The sequence below is a fragment of the Homo sapiens genome, chromosome 1 (genome assembly GCF_000001405.40).
Source record: "Homo sapiens chromosome 1, GRCh38.p14 Primary Assembly".
NCBI classification, from domain to species: Eukaryota; Metazoa; Chordata; class Mammalia; order Primates; family Hominidae; genus Homo; species Homo sapiens.
In genome coordinates, this window is record NC_000001.11 from 115047804 (window position 1) to 115065929 (window position 18126).

Genomic DNA, 18126 nt, shown 5'->3' on the forward strand with positions numbered 1-18126 from the left:
TTCTATGAATACTGACAGATGACTGTATATGCAGTAAGAGTCCTTAGGGTGTTGCTTTTAAGTCAACTACCAATAGCAAATTATAGAAGGGTTACCACTCTGTTTTTTTTTAATCACATTATTTGATTGGTAGTTTGACATTTAGATAAGTTGCGTGAAGGTTTGTAGAAAGATATAATAGGACTTTAAGATAAATCAAACAAGCAATTTCAGTATATAGAAAATTTAATATGAAATCACTTAAAATATTTCAACATTAAGAAGTCTTAATTCAGTGCCTTGGCATGAGACATTTAAAAGCATGTTTGGGTCTAATCTCAAATTAGTTCAGGGGAACAGAAATAGCTGAAAATTTATGTATATGTGTATGTATATATATATATACACACACATCTGTATATACATACATGTATATATTCAAATTATATACATATAAAGATATTTGTAGATTCAAGATATATAGGGATTATATATCTATATATATTATATGTGTGTCTATACAGATATATATATATATATATTCATCTTTCTGTGTGTGTGTGTATATATATCCACACACACATATAAAATCTATTGTTGCTTAGTGGTGGAATTCTCTAATTTTACTCATACGCATATTTTGGAAAGCTTATCTCCAAAAGGGGCACATTAATCGTACATGGAACAGAACCCTTCTCTTCTACTTTAATTAATTTCATTTTAAATTTATTTATTTCTATTCTTCCACTTTTAACTATTATAGTCTCCTTTAAAGTTGTTAATTCAGATAGGAAACTAAACTCACTTTTGTGGAATCAGAGATGATTCTGAGTTGGAAAGAACCCGAGTATGCACTTGGGCCTGTTTCCTGTCTTCAGGCAGAGAGATAAACTAAAGCTAAGAGAGATGGACTGCCTGTTCTTTGCCTAAAAGGTCACATTTCTCAACTACTGGGGTACAAACTATATTTCATGAAGTAATTTTTGTAAAATAATTTTTCTTTAGCTACAGACACAGTAAAGTAGCCATGTATAATTAAGTTTTTAGCTTGCCTCAAATATGACCTTTGTTCTTCTAGAAAAATTTCCTCCAAAATCAGTAGCAGTAGCAAGTATGGCAGAAAGAGAAATGTGGTTCTCCATGGGAGAGAGACTATTTCAAGCAGTCATATCTTTTTAGCAAAATGTTTTGTGAGTTTTTTGGGAGTGTGACACTTTTAGTGCACACTCAAAGACTTGTGTTTTCACATGTATAGAAGTTCATCTGGGGGTTTCCAAAGCCTTCCGTATTTTCACTTATGTGTGGCCTTACAAAATGTAGTTTTTAAAAAATCTATGGTTTACTAAATGTAACACGTTAAAAATCACTGAAAAATTTGCCAATGTAAATCCTAAATTTGGGTTTACTAAGTTAAAATGAAGCGTTAAGACCAAAAAAACATTGAAAATTTTATTTTCACAGGGGATTTGCATAAAAAGAACATTATTTTTGTTCTGTGTATATATAAGTATTTTTGTTTCCTTAACTTGTTTCTGTTGCCCACACACAACTAGGAGAAGATGCTTTTCTTTATTTTGGTTTGGCCAAAGATGCTAATGGTTAAATTATGAAGGACTTTGTTTTACTTATGTTAAGTGGTGAAAACTGTAGTTCTTAATCTATGAAGAATTCTCTAGGTGGCTATACAAGAAAAATACAAAAAGTTAGGAAAACATGTAAACGTAAGTTATGAGGTATTTCATAGATACAGTGCCCATACAAATTCTCTTTCCCACAATTTTCAACTGCCAGATCTCTTGCTTTAGTCTTTTTTCCTTATATTTGGAGAAACAGAAGAGTTTGACATAAAAGTCCCTTTGAGGATGTGAGGGTTGCAGTAGTTTACAGCAGGGTCAGAAAATGAAAGTAATAAAGCAATATTTACATGTTTTTGTATAAGAACAAAAATATTTCCTTAAAAAGTTGTTAAAAGTTTTTTAGTCCTATAAACACTCACTTTTATAGGGCACATGATTGTCTGTGTGACTTCTCTTTCCAGAGGAAGACTTTTTTATTTTTAAATTCTAGGAAAGCATGACTTATTCAAATTGGATTTTCCATGCTATATTTAGTTTTACAGATGTGTTTAGTTCTAAAACTGTGGTTTACTGTATTCTGGGGAGAGCATGTATATAAAAAAACCCAGGAAACCCTTACACCCAACTTAGACACAGTCAGTTTTAACACTCCATTGTGATCTCTCAATTCTTACAGCTTATTACTTCCATTAAGAAGAAATCTCTGAATTCTCTGCATCTAATTTTCAATGGCTACAGTCTGAGAAACTGACCCATTATCACTTTTTCTAAATAGCCAAGTTCTCAAAGTTTCTGAAAGCTCTTTGATCTTTTTTTTCTGGGAGCGAAATAGGTTGTTCTTCTTATATAACAAGAATCAGGAATTCCCAGCAAACAGATTTCATTACGTATAAAGCATATTCCAGAAACACGCAGATCACACATGAATATGCTCTCAGTCATCATAAACAGGCATTCACTCAAGGGGTAAACCAGTAATGAGCCAAACATACGTACTCATGCAAATGTACAATTGACAGCAAATTATTTTAGATCCTAATGTCATTTCAGTGTTAAAAATGAGCTGGGAGACAGCTCCTGTGACATTTGGTATGAAAGCTTTAGATTGCAATTTTCATGTAGAAGTAGCTTCATATCACATCTCGTGAGTTTCGTATCGCACAGCAGAGGACCATGCTGAATATCATGCCAAAGATCTGAAACAGAAGAAACACTCATCAGTGACTTTGAAACGGGTACTGATAGGTAAAAAGTTCAGCAGACTTCCTGGGTGTCTAACTCAAGTTAACAAATAATTATAACCAATAATTACCAGTCACAAATGACATTTTAGTATGTTACTTAAGGTTGGCTATGGGGTAAATAATTCTAGATTAACTGTTTAAATGTGTATTATTATTGTTAACAAGTAACAAGGCTCTGCTTTAAAAGAACCTACCCTGCTTCAGAATTATAGAACCGTTCTGAATACCTGTGAAAGACAGACACAATACTGGCTTTGGAATTTTATATTTCAGGTTAATCCTAGATCTCTTTTATATGTTTATTTTGAAAACTGTGTCCATAACCACTTGTTGTTTAGATATGCTTGTGGTCTAAATAATTTTCTATTGCTGGAAAAGCTCTGATTTTTTACAACAGTGTCCATACATCCAAAAATGGAGTATCAGCTGGGTGCAGTGGCTCATGCCTGCAATCCCAGCACTTTGGGAGGCTGTGGTGGGAGGATCGCTTGAGCTCAGGAGTTCTAGACCAGCCTGGGAAACATGGTGAAACCCTGTCACTACAAAAAATACAAAAATTAGCTGAGCATGGTGGTGTGTCCCTGCAGTCCCAGGTGCTTGGCAAGCTGAGGCGGGAGGATTATTGAGCCCAGGAGGTCGAGGCTGCAGTGAGCTGTGATTGCACCACTTCACTCCCTGGTGACAGAGACCCTGTCTCACAAAAAAAGAAAAAAAAAGTGGAGCATCACTTCATTCTCAGTCCATTTTTAAGGGCAAACGATGCTTCACTGTTTAATTCAATAGTTTTAGCAAAACATAAACTAAAGGGTTTATACTATGGTATTATTGACTTTTACCTTTTGGATAGTTCTCTGAGAAGTTAAATACTTGAGTGAAATCAATATCCACTTCCATGGTTTGAATAGAAGAATGCCAAAGAGTCTTCTTGTCCGCTATTATTTCCCCTACAATTTTGTAGAGCCCATGGAACCCTATCTGTGGGCACCATTCCATAAACTACTGTCAATGCTTATTTTAAAAAATGGGTACTATAACTTTCTGGTTCTCTCCTCAATTCCATCCTAAGTCAGACTAGGATCTGTAAGTGCTAAATTCAATAAGATATGAATGATCAGTTGTTTTGAAAAGGGAGGGGCAGAAGCAGGTAAGGGCATGGCCAGGAACAGGATTTCAAGCTTCTGGATGACAGGACTCAGTACCAGTGTGTAGCACGGGCGACACCCAATGCACTTTTAGTTAGCTGATTACATTGTGCAACTCTCACTTTACAGAGAAAAGAACTAACGAAGAAACCTGGGGGTGCCGACTCAAGATAGGCTCACTATGGGCATTTCCCCTTTATCATTGCCATAAGGTTGGATGTAATCCCTACCCATCCTGGTTTCAGTGAGACTCCTTCAGTCTCAGCCTACTGCCGACACGAGTCAGGGGTGAATGCTTCTAGGCTGCTCATTTGCTGAGATTGTGAAACTCTCCATTATGCAGCACACGCTCAGACCTGCCTCAGGACTGTCCTTTGGGGAGCTGCAGAACTGCAGCCAGGCTATCCCCAGAGCAGGTGGGGAGGACCTGAGAAATGTCCCTTGATTTGGAGGGCCTCAGCAGAGTATTTCCAGCCACTTCTCCACCCCTCTGTGCTCTAAATACAGAAAAGGGGAAGGCGCTTGTGTGTCCCCTGATAACTGCAAATTCACTGATTTCCTCACAATTCCCACAGCCCTTGCCTTAGTTTAGGCCATGAATTAATCTACATAGAGGGCTAGAGACTAAGTGCCATCTTAGCATTAGCTATTATCATCCAACCCCTGGACAATGGAAATCATCCTTTAACCCGCCTTCCAAATCCAATCTTGCCTCCCTCCAACCTTTCCTCTATCCTCTACCACAGGTTCTTCCAACTCTTGGTGACTCCCCTTTCCTTAAGGGTGAAGCCCACCCTTTCAAAGGGGCATACAAAGATCTCAATGATGTAGATCGAATACTCTCTCCATTACCACCTCTCGCAACTCCTGCCATACCTGTCCGCTGCTATCCATTCTTCCCACACACTCTTCTTTTGTACTTTAGAAGTACAGAGCCACCTGGTGGTGGTCTGGATGCACTACGCTTAATACCATCTATGCCATTGCCTTTGCCTGGTAGATTATGCAGAGAGCTGGCATTTGTTGAGTGTTATATGTCCCAGACACTTTATTTATATTAATTTGTAATACTACTGTATATGTAGTATCCCATTTAATTTTCACGGCAATCCTATAAGGTTTATATATTAACAGACGAGGAAATTGAGGTATAGAAAAATTAAGAAATTTTCCTGCGATCTCAGAGCTTGCAAATGGTGGAGCCTAGAGTTAAATCCAAACCATGTGATGCCAGAGCTCGCCCTATTAATCTCTATGCTCTGCTGCCTCTTCAAATCGTAGGTGAGAGAGATTAACCTGATATGTTGCATTGAATTTGTAACAGTAGAAAGAGACCCAGAACTGAAAATCATTTATCTAGGTTATGGATAGTAGCCTTAAAACGGGAAGTTAATAACAATGACACACTCAAGGTCATAATGAGTTAAAGTTGAAATTTCTATTATATTTTAGAGGACAAACTATTAATATATTTATGAGCTTTGTTCTTAGAAGATGTAATACATTGTGAACAAAGGTCTTTTTTCTTTATGAGAATTCTCTCTTAAGATACTATCACACTTGAAAAGAAATAAGATGCAAAGTTTCAAGGCTTTTTAGAGGGCAAAAAGGGTAAGTTCTAGAACTTTCTCACCGTCAGACCTGCAATTCCAATACCGACAATTCCAATGAGCTGGAGCTTAACACTGATTATGGTCTCAATTTCATCGATGCAATTCTGTTTTGAGGAAAAAAAGTCGGGAATAAAAACTGATTGTATGTGTCAGTCATTATCCTGATCCTATCCTTTCCATCTCTACAGTTCATTCTGTGAGAGTTAATCCATGCCAGCTTCTACTCATGTTTCAACAATTCATCTTTGATAACATCATCCTAATAAGCTTAATGCAAAAATGCAGTTTGGGGAAAAAAATAGAAGCCTCTCCTTTGGGTGAGATTTTCATGTTTAGGCCAGTGGCTTCTTCGGAGCCCTGAAATATAACTGGAGGAAGCTATTTGTCTGGTTCCAAGGAATCTAAAAATTTGGAGCCACTTCTTACTTGTAGCAAATAAGTAAAATACCCTTAAAACAATAACTCTTTGTTTTCATATTGTCATTTACAGTTTAAAATACTTTCTATGTCTTTGACCCAATTTACTATGCAAAGTAGGCATGACCTATTAAGAAACTAAAAAGTCTTAACAGGTTCAAGTTAAACAAAGGAAAGCCAAGAATTAGAAAAGCCAAGTCTTGGAGCTAGAGGACCATTCTCTCCTGTGGTGGCTGGGCTGGGCTGTGCTGGGTGAGTTCCTATCCTTTCATCTGTGCCCATAAGACACCTGTGCAGCATAGATTCAAAGGGCCTTCATGGATGTGGGGAAACTTAGACAGAAAGCCAAATAGATCACCTGTAACTATTATTAGTTTCTCCAACTTCAAACACTCCTATTTGGAGTGCTCTTAAGTAGAGGGATGCTCTCAATCCAACTGTACCCTCAGGTTGTTCAGATCTGTTCACTTGTCACTGGTTGGTTCCTTTGATACCATCTGAGCTATATAAAACCCTTACTTCTCTCTTCGTATTTCCTATCACACTTCATTCATTCAACAAACATTTCTTGAGCATCTACCTTGCATTAGTCACTGGAAGAGGGGTGGTAGATGCAGAGACAATAGGATATGGTTTCTCCTGCTTTCTGGGAATTCACAGTTTAGAGGACACAGATCCACAAGAGATACCTATAATGCATTCTGACAAAAGTTTGAAAACTACTCTTCTAAGGAGTGGCTCCCTTACTTAGTGGAAAAAATGAGAGTCAACCTATAGCAATTCTTTCACTCTTCCTCTCCTTCTCCTATACACTTAGATGCTCCCTTCCTTCAGTGCCAGGCATTGCTGTAGGTAGCAAGCACACTCCTGACTCCTTTTTCTCTGATCAGAGCCAAAGAGGTGCCCTTCTCTGTTGAAAGTTAACCTCATGGCTGGGCGCGGTGGCTCAAGCCTGTAATCCCAGCACTTGGGAGGCCGAGATGCGTGGATCACCTAAGGTCAGGAGATCGAGACCAGCCTGGCCAACATGGTGAAACCCCGTCTCTACTGAAAATAAAAAAATTAGCCGGGCATGGTGGCACCTACCTGTAATCCCAGCTACTAGCGGGGCTGAGGCAGGAGGATCACTTGAACCTGGGAGGTGGAGGTTGCAGTGAGCCGAGATCATGCCACTACACTCCAGCCTGGGCAACAGAGTGAGACTCTGTCTCAAAATAAATAAATAAATAAATAATAATAAAAGACAGTTAACTTCATATCCTGCTTTGGGTCTTTCAGCTCCTCAGGAAGCCTGCACTGCCAGTTACTTTTTTTCCTTCCTATACATTCAGCCTCTCCTTATCCATTGACATTTCTACTTATCCTATCACCATGCTCAGTTCTTCAATCAAAACAAACAAAACAACACTCGAGACTGTCCTCCTCTAGTTCTGCCATTAGGCCCTCCTTCCCTTCATTGCCAGCTTCTTTTTGTAAAAAACAAATGTACAAAAGGTATATTGGCTTTAGTCACAAAAGGAATACATGCTTCTTGTAGAAATCTGGAAAAGAGATTTTTTTTTTTTTAAAAAGAAATGTCTGTATTCTCACCATAAAAGGTAATAAATTTGTTGGTGATACTTACACACACAAACACACCTACACCCTTAGGTCATTCTTTATATTCAACAGTGAGCTTTTTAAACTTAATATTACAACTTTAAAAATGCCTTGTTTCACTAAAAATTTCTTTGAAATCATGATTATGATGATTATTTTTTTTTTTGGAGACAGAGTCTCGCTCTCTCACCCAGGCTGTAGTGCAGTGGCGCGATCTCGGCTCACTGCAACCTCTGCCTCCCAGGTTCAAGTGATTCTCCTGCCTCAGCTTTCTGAGTAGCTGGGATCACAGGCACATGCCACCACGCCTGGCTAATTTTTGTATTTTTAGTAGACGGGATTTCACCATGTTGCCCAGGGTGGTCTTAAACTCCTGAGCTCAGGCAATCTGCCTGCCTCTGCCTCCCTAAGTGCTAGGATTACAGGTGAAATCATGATTCTTAATGGTGGTAAAACATTTCATCATATGAATATACTACAATTTATCCAAACAATCCCCTATTGCCACATATTAAGGGTCTGTCCAGTGTTTTGTTCTTATGAATAACATGTAATGAGCATGATTTGCACAAAAACGTCTGTCTGCATTTCTGATTCCTTTTCCTTAGAATAAACTCCGAGAAGTGGAATTTCTGGATAGAAGGGCATAAACATACTTAATCCTCTAGTCTTACATAGTCATACTGACCTTTAAAACTATTTACTAATTTCTCTGAAAATGCTCACGACATCACGTTTACCAAAACTGTGTATTATTGTTAAGGGAAAGGAAAAACACTTGGTCAATTTCATAGATTAAACAACAGCATCTCTTCATTTTAATTTGCTATTGATTTTAAATATTACTTTTAATTTTCTATATTTTCTATATGTTTAATGGTAATTTGGACTTTGACTTTTGTAAACTTTCTTTCTGTGTCCTTGGCTCAAATCGAAACTTCTTGAAAGGATGCTCTCTCTCCTCACATCTCGCTCTCTGAAACCTGGGCTCTGTCCTCAATCCATCCCTCACAGCACGTCACCAGTTGGTTCCTTGCATGCTAAATCCTGCCAGCTTTTCAGCAGTTATTAGTAGACCTTCTTAGGCTTTCAGTTCCCCACACAAACCATGTCATTTCTGCCTCTGTGTTGTTGCTTACGCTGGTCTCTCGGCACGCAGGCCTCCCCCTCCCGCTTTCTGCCCAATGCTTGCATAATTACTTTCCATTCTTGAAGATTTAGCTGAGACATCATTACCTCTGTCAGCCTTCCCCATCCCCCAGCCTCTCGCCTCTCCTAAGTGCGTTTCCCTCTGTGCTTTCCGAGCACGTTGCACATTCCATGCATTCCTAATCACTGGACCGTATGGACTTCATGTTCATCCCTCCTATCAGACTGCAATGCAAGCTCCTTGTGAGTAGGAACTTTTTCTCCTTCTCCTTTGCATCCACAGTGCCGAACATAAGGTAGGCAGCTGATCAATACTGAATTGCCCTCAACAGCAGCACCTGGGCCTGGTGACCATTCCCTCCCCTTCCCGTGCTGTCTCCTCACTTGTGTCTGGCCGCCCCTCCCAGTTTCCTTCTTTGGCATCTCTTCTTTTGCCCACCCTTAAATTGTCCCCCAAGGATCTATCCTCATCCTTCTTTTCTTCCAAGTCTAATGGATCAAATCCGTATTTATAGCTTTAAGTTTCCCATCAAGTGCTGACACTCAGACCTCTCTCCTGAGCCACAAACCAGATTTTCCAACTGCCTACTGGATATTTCCATTTGGAAGTGCCACTGGCTCCTCAAAATCACCATGTTAAACACAAAGCTCATTTTCTTTTCTCCACAATTGGCTCCTTTTCCTCTCTCCCTCAGCTCCATAAATGACACCATCATCTATGTAGGTGGTGAAGCCAAAAACCCAGTAATGGATTCTCCTCTCTTCTCTGGTCACCACTCCTGTAGTTGTCACTTTCTAAAGGGCCCTCTTTAACATCTCTTGCTAACAACAAGGACAGCAGCCTTCCCAATGGGTCTCTCAGCTCAACGCTATTCATTTTCCATCAATCCTCTATGCTGCCACTAGAGCAAATTCAGTAAAATGCAGATCCCATCCGAGATTCTACCTTCAATGGCTTCCTAAGCTAGCAGCATGATACTACAGGTAGAGTAAGAACCTTGGTAGAAGCTTACCTTGTGTCCTAGAAGCTCCTTTGGGCATGTAGGTTGGACCTGTTCGGAGCTTTCTTTTCCACAGCACTGAAACTAGAGAGTCAGAAAAGAGACTTCAGGACCAGGCGGGAGGAGTAGCAGCTACAAGTCTGGGCACCCTGCTAAGGACTGGGGTGCCGAGGCGGCAAAGCAGCTCCGAGGCCCAGTCACTGCAACCCAGACTGCTATTTCTGGAAGGAGAGTGAAGAATCACATAATCATGCTGGCAAAACAAGAAAATGACTTCGCTAAAGCCATCTGAGTTTATGATGGGAAGTGACTCAAGGCAACCCAAACAAGGCAAGAAGCTAATTGACAGTGTCTGTGTAAATTGCTACTTTTTAGAAAGGGGTTGGGGCTTTAGATTCCTTCTTTCAGACTGGGAGTCATTTAACCTGCTGAGGAGCTCAAGTTTTATGAGCTGCAGAAGGACTCATTAGCTGGGAATAGTCTGGGGAAGAGGGGAGAAGTGGCTGCAGGAAATTCCAGGGTCCAAAAGACCAGATTTGAAGATTGGCCAGCAAACAGGTGTCCTGCTTAGGCTAGCTGGCCCTTTAAGACAAAAGAACCTGTGTGCTGCTTCAGGTCCTGGCGGCAGCTGAGGTGAAACCGTATAAATGTATAAATGGTGGCCACTTTCCAAGACATACTTGTCCTAGACAAGAACTAGGTACCTGAAAACACCTGGCCCAGGAATTCACAGCTACTTCTTCATATCACAGTGTCTAAAAAATCAGAATAACTCTGGCCTGGCCCATCTCCTCTGTAAGCCTTCTGTGATTAACTGCATGTAGCTCTGAGCACTCCACGGACAGCACAGTCCCACTGAATGTTCCAGAAGGGAGTGTAGCCATCTCCTGTGACCCTTCATTCTACAAATGAGGGAGCTGCGTGGGTATCAGGGAGGCCAAGTAACTTGCTCAAGGTCACAAGGCTGTTGAATGGTAGAGCTGCAGCTAGAAATTAGCTTTTCTGACTTACAGGTCACACTTGTTTCTGTTACACCACAATGCTACCCTCTGACAAAGCCTGCTATTTATCTGGGCTCCTTTCTCTGTAACCTTGTTTGTGCTCTTTTGTCTCTTTGGGGCATGTGTCTTTTGGGTTCATGCTCTTCTGTCTCTCTTGTGAACTCTGTGTGATAGACATCTTTCCCTTCTAGGGTTCCACACATAATGCAAACTGTGGCCCTCAAAAGGGCTAAAATAGGTGGTGCTACTTGGCTTTACTGAATTTATTTTTATTTTTAATCCTGGTGATTGGTGAGAACCTGGCTCACACATAATCTTTAGAAGCTGTGATTTTAAGGAAGAAGTGAAGTTACTCACTGTTGAGTGGAAGGTGATGAGTGTCCCATTGCCTTTTCCCCTGTCTTTAAGGTAATCATTGTAAGCCTCTTCATACATGGTCTGAACATGTCGGATAGCCTGAAGAAATACAAGGAAAAATGAAGGACTTCTGGGTGGGAAGTTTCAAACATTCTCCTTTCATCAAGGAAAATCTCCTCTTCCACACCTTTGAAAAACACTGCCTTTCTCATAAGAATGATACAATGGACTTTGGGGACTCAGGGGAAAGGGTAGGAGTGAGGTGAGGGATAAAAGACTGCACATTGGGTACAGTGTACACTGCTCGGGTGATGGGTGCACCAAAATCTCAGAAATCCCCACTAGAGAACTTACTCATGTAACCAAACACCACCTGTTCCCCACAAAACCTGTAGAAATAAAAAAAAATACTGCCTTTCCATAGGTATTTTAGGATAATTCAGCAACATATGGAGAAGATTATAGTTTCTGGAGTTTCTAAGATGCTTTTGAGGATGGAAGGACAGACTAACCAGAACAGTTTTCATGGACTAGAAAGATTTCTGACAGTTCCCAAGCCCAACTGGGCTTCAGCATCAACTGGGCCCCAGATTCCTGGGCTCCATCCAGATGATTTGGATGCATAGCTAGGATCCGGACTTATACATTCCTGTTACCCCATTGGTTAAAAGCATTCAAATCTTTTTATGACGTGGTTTAAAAGGTATTCATCACCAAGGAAAACTTTCTACATTCAGATATCATATAAAGCTTAGAGAATGCTTTTTCTAGTATAAAAGCTTGTGATTTCAAATCCACAGATATCTCAACAGGTCCTAAGATTCCATTCTACTTCTGTATGTAGCTGAATTTAAACTAACCTATGAACACAGCCAGTTACTTTAGAAAAATTCAAAAGGAGGTGACATTTACTATTCTACATGTTTACTGTTTTATAGTCTAAAATAAGTTCAGAAACATAATATTAATGACACAAGAGTTAATGTGAAATACACCAAACTTAAGTTTCCATTCTTCCTCCTTTTCCATTCCATTCTCTTCTATCCCACAGTGTGTTTTACAGAGGAAGAAAGGCTACTTCCTCTGTGTGTCCCCCCGATAACCTATTCTGGACACCTAGAGTTGGGCAGCAAATATAAACTGGCTTCACTAGCCCACAGCAGTGTAGGCTCTGCTCTTTGAGAATGAAATGGACCCATCCAGGCCAATCCTTAAGGACAAATGGCAGTCTGACAGGGGATGAGAATCTAGATTCTTTCTCAAGTCTGTACTCTAACTGTTACCCCATTTCACAATGGGGAAGAATCTTAAATTAGAGATCCTTTTTTTTTTGGTTTTATTATAGACCACTTCATAAGTCTAATGGAAGAGATGAACTATCTCCCCAGAAAAATGTGAGCATGTATATATGCCTGCACACTCATATACATATATGCTCAGTTCTGCACACCACTTCTAAGTTAAAAAGTTCTGTTTAAACTATAATAATGGGGATTATTTGGTTTCTTAACACTATTGTGGGTATCAATATTCTAACACTTTTAACCATCATAGAAAAACATTATAAGTAATTTTACTTACTACCCCCTTGCCTATAAAAGCAAATACTCCAGTGGTTACTTCAGCAGCAAATATCACCAGGAGGCAGGTAAAAAACTGTAGAGGAGAGAAAATACTAATTTCATTAATTTAATACCTTTTCAATTTATATATTTTGCACCTTAGTTTCCTTATGTAATGGCTGAATCGCTTTCATGTGGTTCATTCATTCATTCATTCATTCAGCAATTGTTTATTAGGCATTTATTCTGCACCAGGTACTGTCCTTGGTGCTGACTATTCAGTGGTGAACAAGATAATATCCAAATGTCTCTGTTATCACGGACCTTGGATTGGACAGAGGAATATACGATAACTGTGTAAAGAAGTTAAAAAGTGAATAAGATAAGTTCAGGTAGTGATGTAAAAATCCCACCACCTAGAACACCACCTGGCACCTACGTGCTTAGTAAATACTTGACGAACACAAAAGACCTAGAAAGATATAAAATAAGGTCAGGAGAGGGAGCATCACTGATGCGGCCTGGGCATGGGGAAGGGGGTGACTGGAGATTCTGTGGTCTGGAAAGGCTTCTTTGAGGAGATGAGGTGAGGGGTGTCCTTCTGGATGGATTTCTGTTCTGGTCTATGGATTTGCTCTGATCAAACTAAGTTCAGTGATAAACAAGACAGAAATGTGCTCAACAGTAGGAGAAAGAGAAGGAATGAATGGCAAAGAAATAAGTCAGACATTTCACATAGCAAGAGATCAGAGGCTACGGCCAGAGTTAAAAATCCAAATATCACAATAAGTAATGAGAGATGAGAGGCTGCCTATTAAAACTGCTGTTTCTGACTCCCTGTGGAGAAATATCAACACTTTCTCTCCTCCTGCCCCTCTTCTTCCTTTCTGTTTCTCTCAGGCTACACTGACATAGAATGTATAGCAGTTAATTGAAATTATTTGATTTTTGTTTTAAACAGAGGTTGCTTGTTAAAATAAGCCACAAGAGGGATTTTGGTTAAGTTATTGATCTCAAACATAAATGTTTTCCTTGTAGATAACAGCACTTCCCTGGCTATAGAAACCTTTTAGCTGCCTCACCCACTGTGAAATATTTTTTTTTAAAGAACAATCATAGTCACCCCTTACAATTACTAAGTACTTTTACTCCCAAAACATCTTTACACCAATGACGTCATTTCTTTTCACACTTCCCATATAAGGCAGGAACAAAGATAATATTTTTTTTCTTTTTTCTTTTTTCAAGACAAGGTTTTGCTCTGTCGCCCAGGTTGGAGTGCAGTGGTACAGTCATGGCTCACTGCAGCCTCCCAACTCCTGGTCTTAAGTGATCCTCCTGCCTCAGCCTCCTGAGTAGCTGGGACCACAGGTGTGTGCCATCACACCCGGTAGAGACTAGGTCTCCCTGTGTTGCCCAAGCTAGTCTTAAACTCCTGGGCTCCAGAGATCCTCCTGCCTCAGCCTCCCAAAGTGCTGGGATTACAGGCGTGAGTCATGGCACCCGGCCCTAGTTAGTATTATTCATATATAAGAGATGGAGAAACCAAGACTGAGGGAGGAAAAGTGCATGCCAAGGGCTCAGAGAGTCCACGGAGGAGCTGGAGCCAGGGGCCAGAGGCACTGACTCCCTTCAGATGCAGGCCGCTCCCTCACCCCCACCCCACCATTTACCCCCTCGCCCCACTTACTGATCCAAGCACACATTGCGACTCCCGCATGGCTCCGCAGCACCCGAAGAACCCCACGGCCATCATCAGGGCCCCGGCTCCAACCAGAACATACAGCCCTGTGGGGAAGAGGTCAGAGGAGACCACTGAGAGCCAACCGAGTGCCTCCACGACCAACTAGGCTTAAGACTCTGGGCACTGCAGAGCATTCTAATAGTACCAAAAGGAGGTGCTATTCTTACTGCCATGTTTGACACGGAGGAACTGGGCCCCAAAAGGTAAAGCGATTTGCTTAAGGTCATAGAGCTGGTGTTTGGCAGAGCCGGGAGAAAAATAGCCATGAGCCTCAAAAGCCTGCCCAACACTCCGACTCTGTCTTGCATCTCTAGTGATGGAGGCAGCCATCATTCAGGTGGGGATTTCACTTACTGCTTAGGCAAGCCCCACGTACAGTTCTTACAGAGAAAGAAAAGGACAGAAATGCTCTGGTTCTGAGAGAACTAAAGCCAAGCCTTTTTGTATTTCCTTCTCTGATCCTGAGATAAGTTAGAATACAATATGGGACTTGGCACTTGTCTTACTTGGAATCATGTTAATGGTCTCTATTTCATTTTTTGCATTTTACTCATATGAGTCACCTGGAAACCACTCCCATTAATAGGGAGGGTGGGGGCTGGTGCCCCGCCTCTGTGGGGAACCCCTGGGCCTGGCATTCAGGGTGCTTCCTGGGGCGCCTCTGGGTTGCTGATGGTGGTTTGCGGGCAGATCTGGCAGTTTACAGACCTAGTAGGAGCCACAGGCGAGGCTGCTCTGCTTCCTGCCCCACCCGGACCTGGCCTCAGCGTTCTTTTCAGGGCCCTGAGGCCTTGCTGCTCTGCAGTCCTGAGGTGGGTATTTATTTCCTGCTGTTCTAGCTCTACCACCTCCTCCCTTTCCCTTTTCTCTAAAAGAATAATTTCATGAGGGAATGGATGTGGTAATGTGAGAAATGATATCATATTAAAAATAATAGTGTTGTTGGCCCCACTACCTCAACACTTTATTGTTTTAAAAATGTCTTTCACCAAAGGTCTAATATCCAGAATCTGTAAGGAACTTAAACAAATCAACAAGCAAAAGGCAAATAACTCCATTAAAAAGTGGGCAAAAGACATAAACAGACAATTCTCCAAAGAAGACATGCAAGCGAGCAACAAACATGAAATAATGCTCGTCATCTCTAATCATCAGAGAAATGCAAATCAAAACCACAATGAGATACCATCTCATACCAGTCAGAATGGCTTTTGTTAAAAAGTCAAAAATAACAGATGTTGGCAAGGCTGGGAGTAAAGGGGACACTTTATACAATGTTGCGAATGTAAATCAGTACAGCCACTGCAGAAGGCAGTTTGGAGATGACTCAAACAACTGAGTTGAACTACCACTCGACCCGGCAATCCCATTGCTGGGTAAATACCTAAAGGAAAATAAGTCATTCTGTCAAAAGGGTACATGTTCACTGCAGCACTATTCACAACGGCAAAGGTATGGAATCAACCCAGGTGCCCATCAATGGTAGATAGGATAAAGAAAATGTGGTACATATACACCATGGAATACTATGCAGCCATAAAAAAGAACAAAATCATGCCCTTTGCAGCAACATGAATGCAGCTGGAGGCCATTATCCTAAGCAAACTATCACAGGAACAGAACATCAAATACCGCATGTTCTCACTTATAAGTAGGAGCTAAATATTGGGTACACATGGACATAAAGATGGGAATGATAGATACTGGGGACTACTAGAGGGGCACAGGTGTTGAAAAACTAACTATTGGATACTATATTCATTACCTCAGTGACAGGTTCAGTCATACCCCCAATCTCGGCATCACTCAATGTACCTTTGTAACAAACCTGCCCATGTACCCCCTGATTCTAAAATGAAAGTTGAAAAAGAAAAAAAAAAGTCATTCACTGTGTTGCAATGTTTTCAAAGCTCTCACTTCCATCATCTTATTGGCTTCTCAAAACAACGTGGTTAGGTAAGCAAGGACTATTATTTCTGTTTTACAAATGGAGGTCTGAGAGTCAAGATGGCTGTAGGCAGGATGCCCTGGCCTGCAGCCCCAATTCCCATCCCACACTTCTATTTGACCACCCCACAGAAGCGAGCTGAATGCAGGGCGGCAGCAACAACACCATATTCAGTTCCTTCATGGAATGTCTCCTGGTGGACCCCCTTGCTGCAGAACATGCCCATTGCCTCTCATTGCTACTGCCACAATTGCTACATGATGCCGTTTGCAGATCTATCATGAAGTCACAGCCTACAGAACAGTTTCCCCCAAAATCTTTATCCATCCTATGCTCCAGCCACCTGGGAATTCACCATGATCTGGCTGTGTCCTGCTCTTTTCCATTTTGTGCTTTTGCAGGTTCTCATATTAGTCTCTCATTATAGATTTCAAGTTGACAAACCTTATTCATCCTCTCTAGAACATGCCCTGCACAAGGCAGAATTCTTAGTCAGTGTGCATTGGATTAGTAGATAAGACAGAGAAAATCAAATCAGTTCCAGGCTTGCTGGCTGTCATCACCCATCTTTGCTTAGAGATATATGCTGGAAACAGGTCTCAGCAAACATCCACAAAGCAACTACATAGCTGTGCTCTCCAAAGCCAAGCACATGAGGATGGTTGCTTCGCACCCCGAGACACCCTGGAATATGTGAAAGAGGGAGGCTCGTGAGGAGGCAGGAGGCTCACTGGACAGGGGCACAGAGGTTTGAGGAGGCCAGAGTTGTTCCCCACTGTAAATGAAACTGTCTGCTCCCTCAGGCAACAATCCTTATCCTTCTGAAATAATGAGCTTTTCAGGAAAGTGTGCTTTTTTGAACAATATTTCATTCTTAGGCTATCAGAATCCCAGAGCTCACGGCAAAAACAACCTGAAGCTGCCCTAGCAGCTTCAACTTTGAGGCCACTTCTCAGCCAGCCTCTGTTTTGTATGTGTGGGCCCGTGACTCAGCCCAGCTCCAAATGAACATTGCTTGCTGAAGCTGAAGGGAAAAGCAGAAGAAATTCTACAAGAGGAAAGGTTCCCTGGGCGTGCCGGATCCAGTTCCAAATCTGGCTCTAATACTCCGCATGCCATAAGGCCACCTGTGGCTTCCAAGGATACTTTATCCTTCTTATGGTCTGACCCTCAAAAAATAGCTGCTGAATGTAATAATTAATTTACAGCCACATTTTAAATTCCAAGATGGTTACTGTAGAGCCTTCTCCTTCCCACAGGAGCAGGTGTGACAAACATACGACCTACTTCCCAAAGCCCTCATGCTTTCCGAGTCCTATTGCCTTTGATTTGAAAAATAGAAAACATTTTGAAATTACATTTTCATCATGAATAGCTGGCCTTTGGGATGCCAGTGATCTCTGTGACATGCTACCACAAGTACTTTCCCTGGGACACCTTCATTTTTAAAAATTTAAAAAGTATTTAAAATTATTTATTAATATCTTACTGATACATAATAGTTGTACACATTTTGGGGGTACATATGCTATTTCAATGCATGTATACAATGTGTAAGGATCAAATCAGTGTCACTGAGATATCCATCACCTCAAACATTTATCTTTGTGTTGGGAAGTTACAATTCTTCTCACCTAGCTACTTTGAAATATATAAAAATTATTGCTAAATATAATTTTCCTACTGTTCTATAGAATACAAGAATTTCTTCCTTCTATTTAACTGTATTTTTGTACCCATTAAGCAGCTTCTCTTTATCTCCCCAACCCCCTACACTCTGCGGCCTCCAGTAA

General features: G+C 40.9%; 1 protein-coding gene across 4 annotated transcripts in view, besides 1 other annotated feature; it reads right to left on the reverse strand.

Annotated features, from left to right (window-relative positions):
• Positions 1 to 207: 207 nt before the first annotated feature.
• The window catches only part of TSPAN2 (tetraspanin 2), a 41493-nt gene continuing 23574 nt past the window's right edge, over positions 208 to 18126 (reverse strand). Inside the window, exons 3-8 of one of the 4 annotated variants that reach the window (NM_005725.6) lie at positions 14332 to 14429; positions 12661 to 12735; positions 11080 to 11178; positions 9734 to 9805; positions 5576 to 5659; positions 208 to 2752 (exon numbers count right to left, since the gene is read on the reverse strand). In NM_005725.6, the coding sequence (NP_005716.2) occupies positions 2687 to 2752; positions 5576 to 5659; positions 9734 to 9805; positions 11080 to 11178; positions 12661 to 12735; positions 14332 to 14429 (494 nt within the window). In that variant the 3' untranslated portion in view covers positions 208 to 2686. The remainder of the gene's footprint in view (positions 2753 to 5575; positions 5660 to 9733; positions 9806 to 11079; positions 11179 to 12660; positions 12736 to 14331; positions 14430 to 18126) is intronic. The other 3 variants (NM_001308315.2, NM_001308316.2, XM_016999996.2) reach the window with 3 other exon arrangements.
• Positions 14529 to 15052: an enhancer, noted in NCBI's record as "H3K4me1 hESC enhancer chr1:115604953-115605476 (GRCh37/hg19 assembly coordinates)". NCBI's record gives its function as "activates a minimal SCP1, AML or CMV promoter by ChIP-STARR-seq in primed H9 embryonic stem cells {active_cell/tissue: H9 hESC(primed)}" and the evidence as "EXISTENCE:reporter gene assay evidence [ECO:0000049][PMID:30033119]".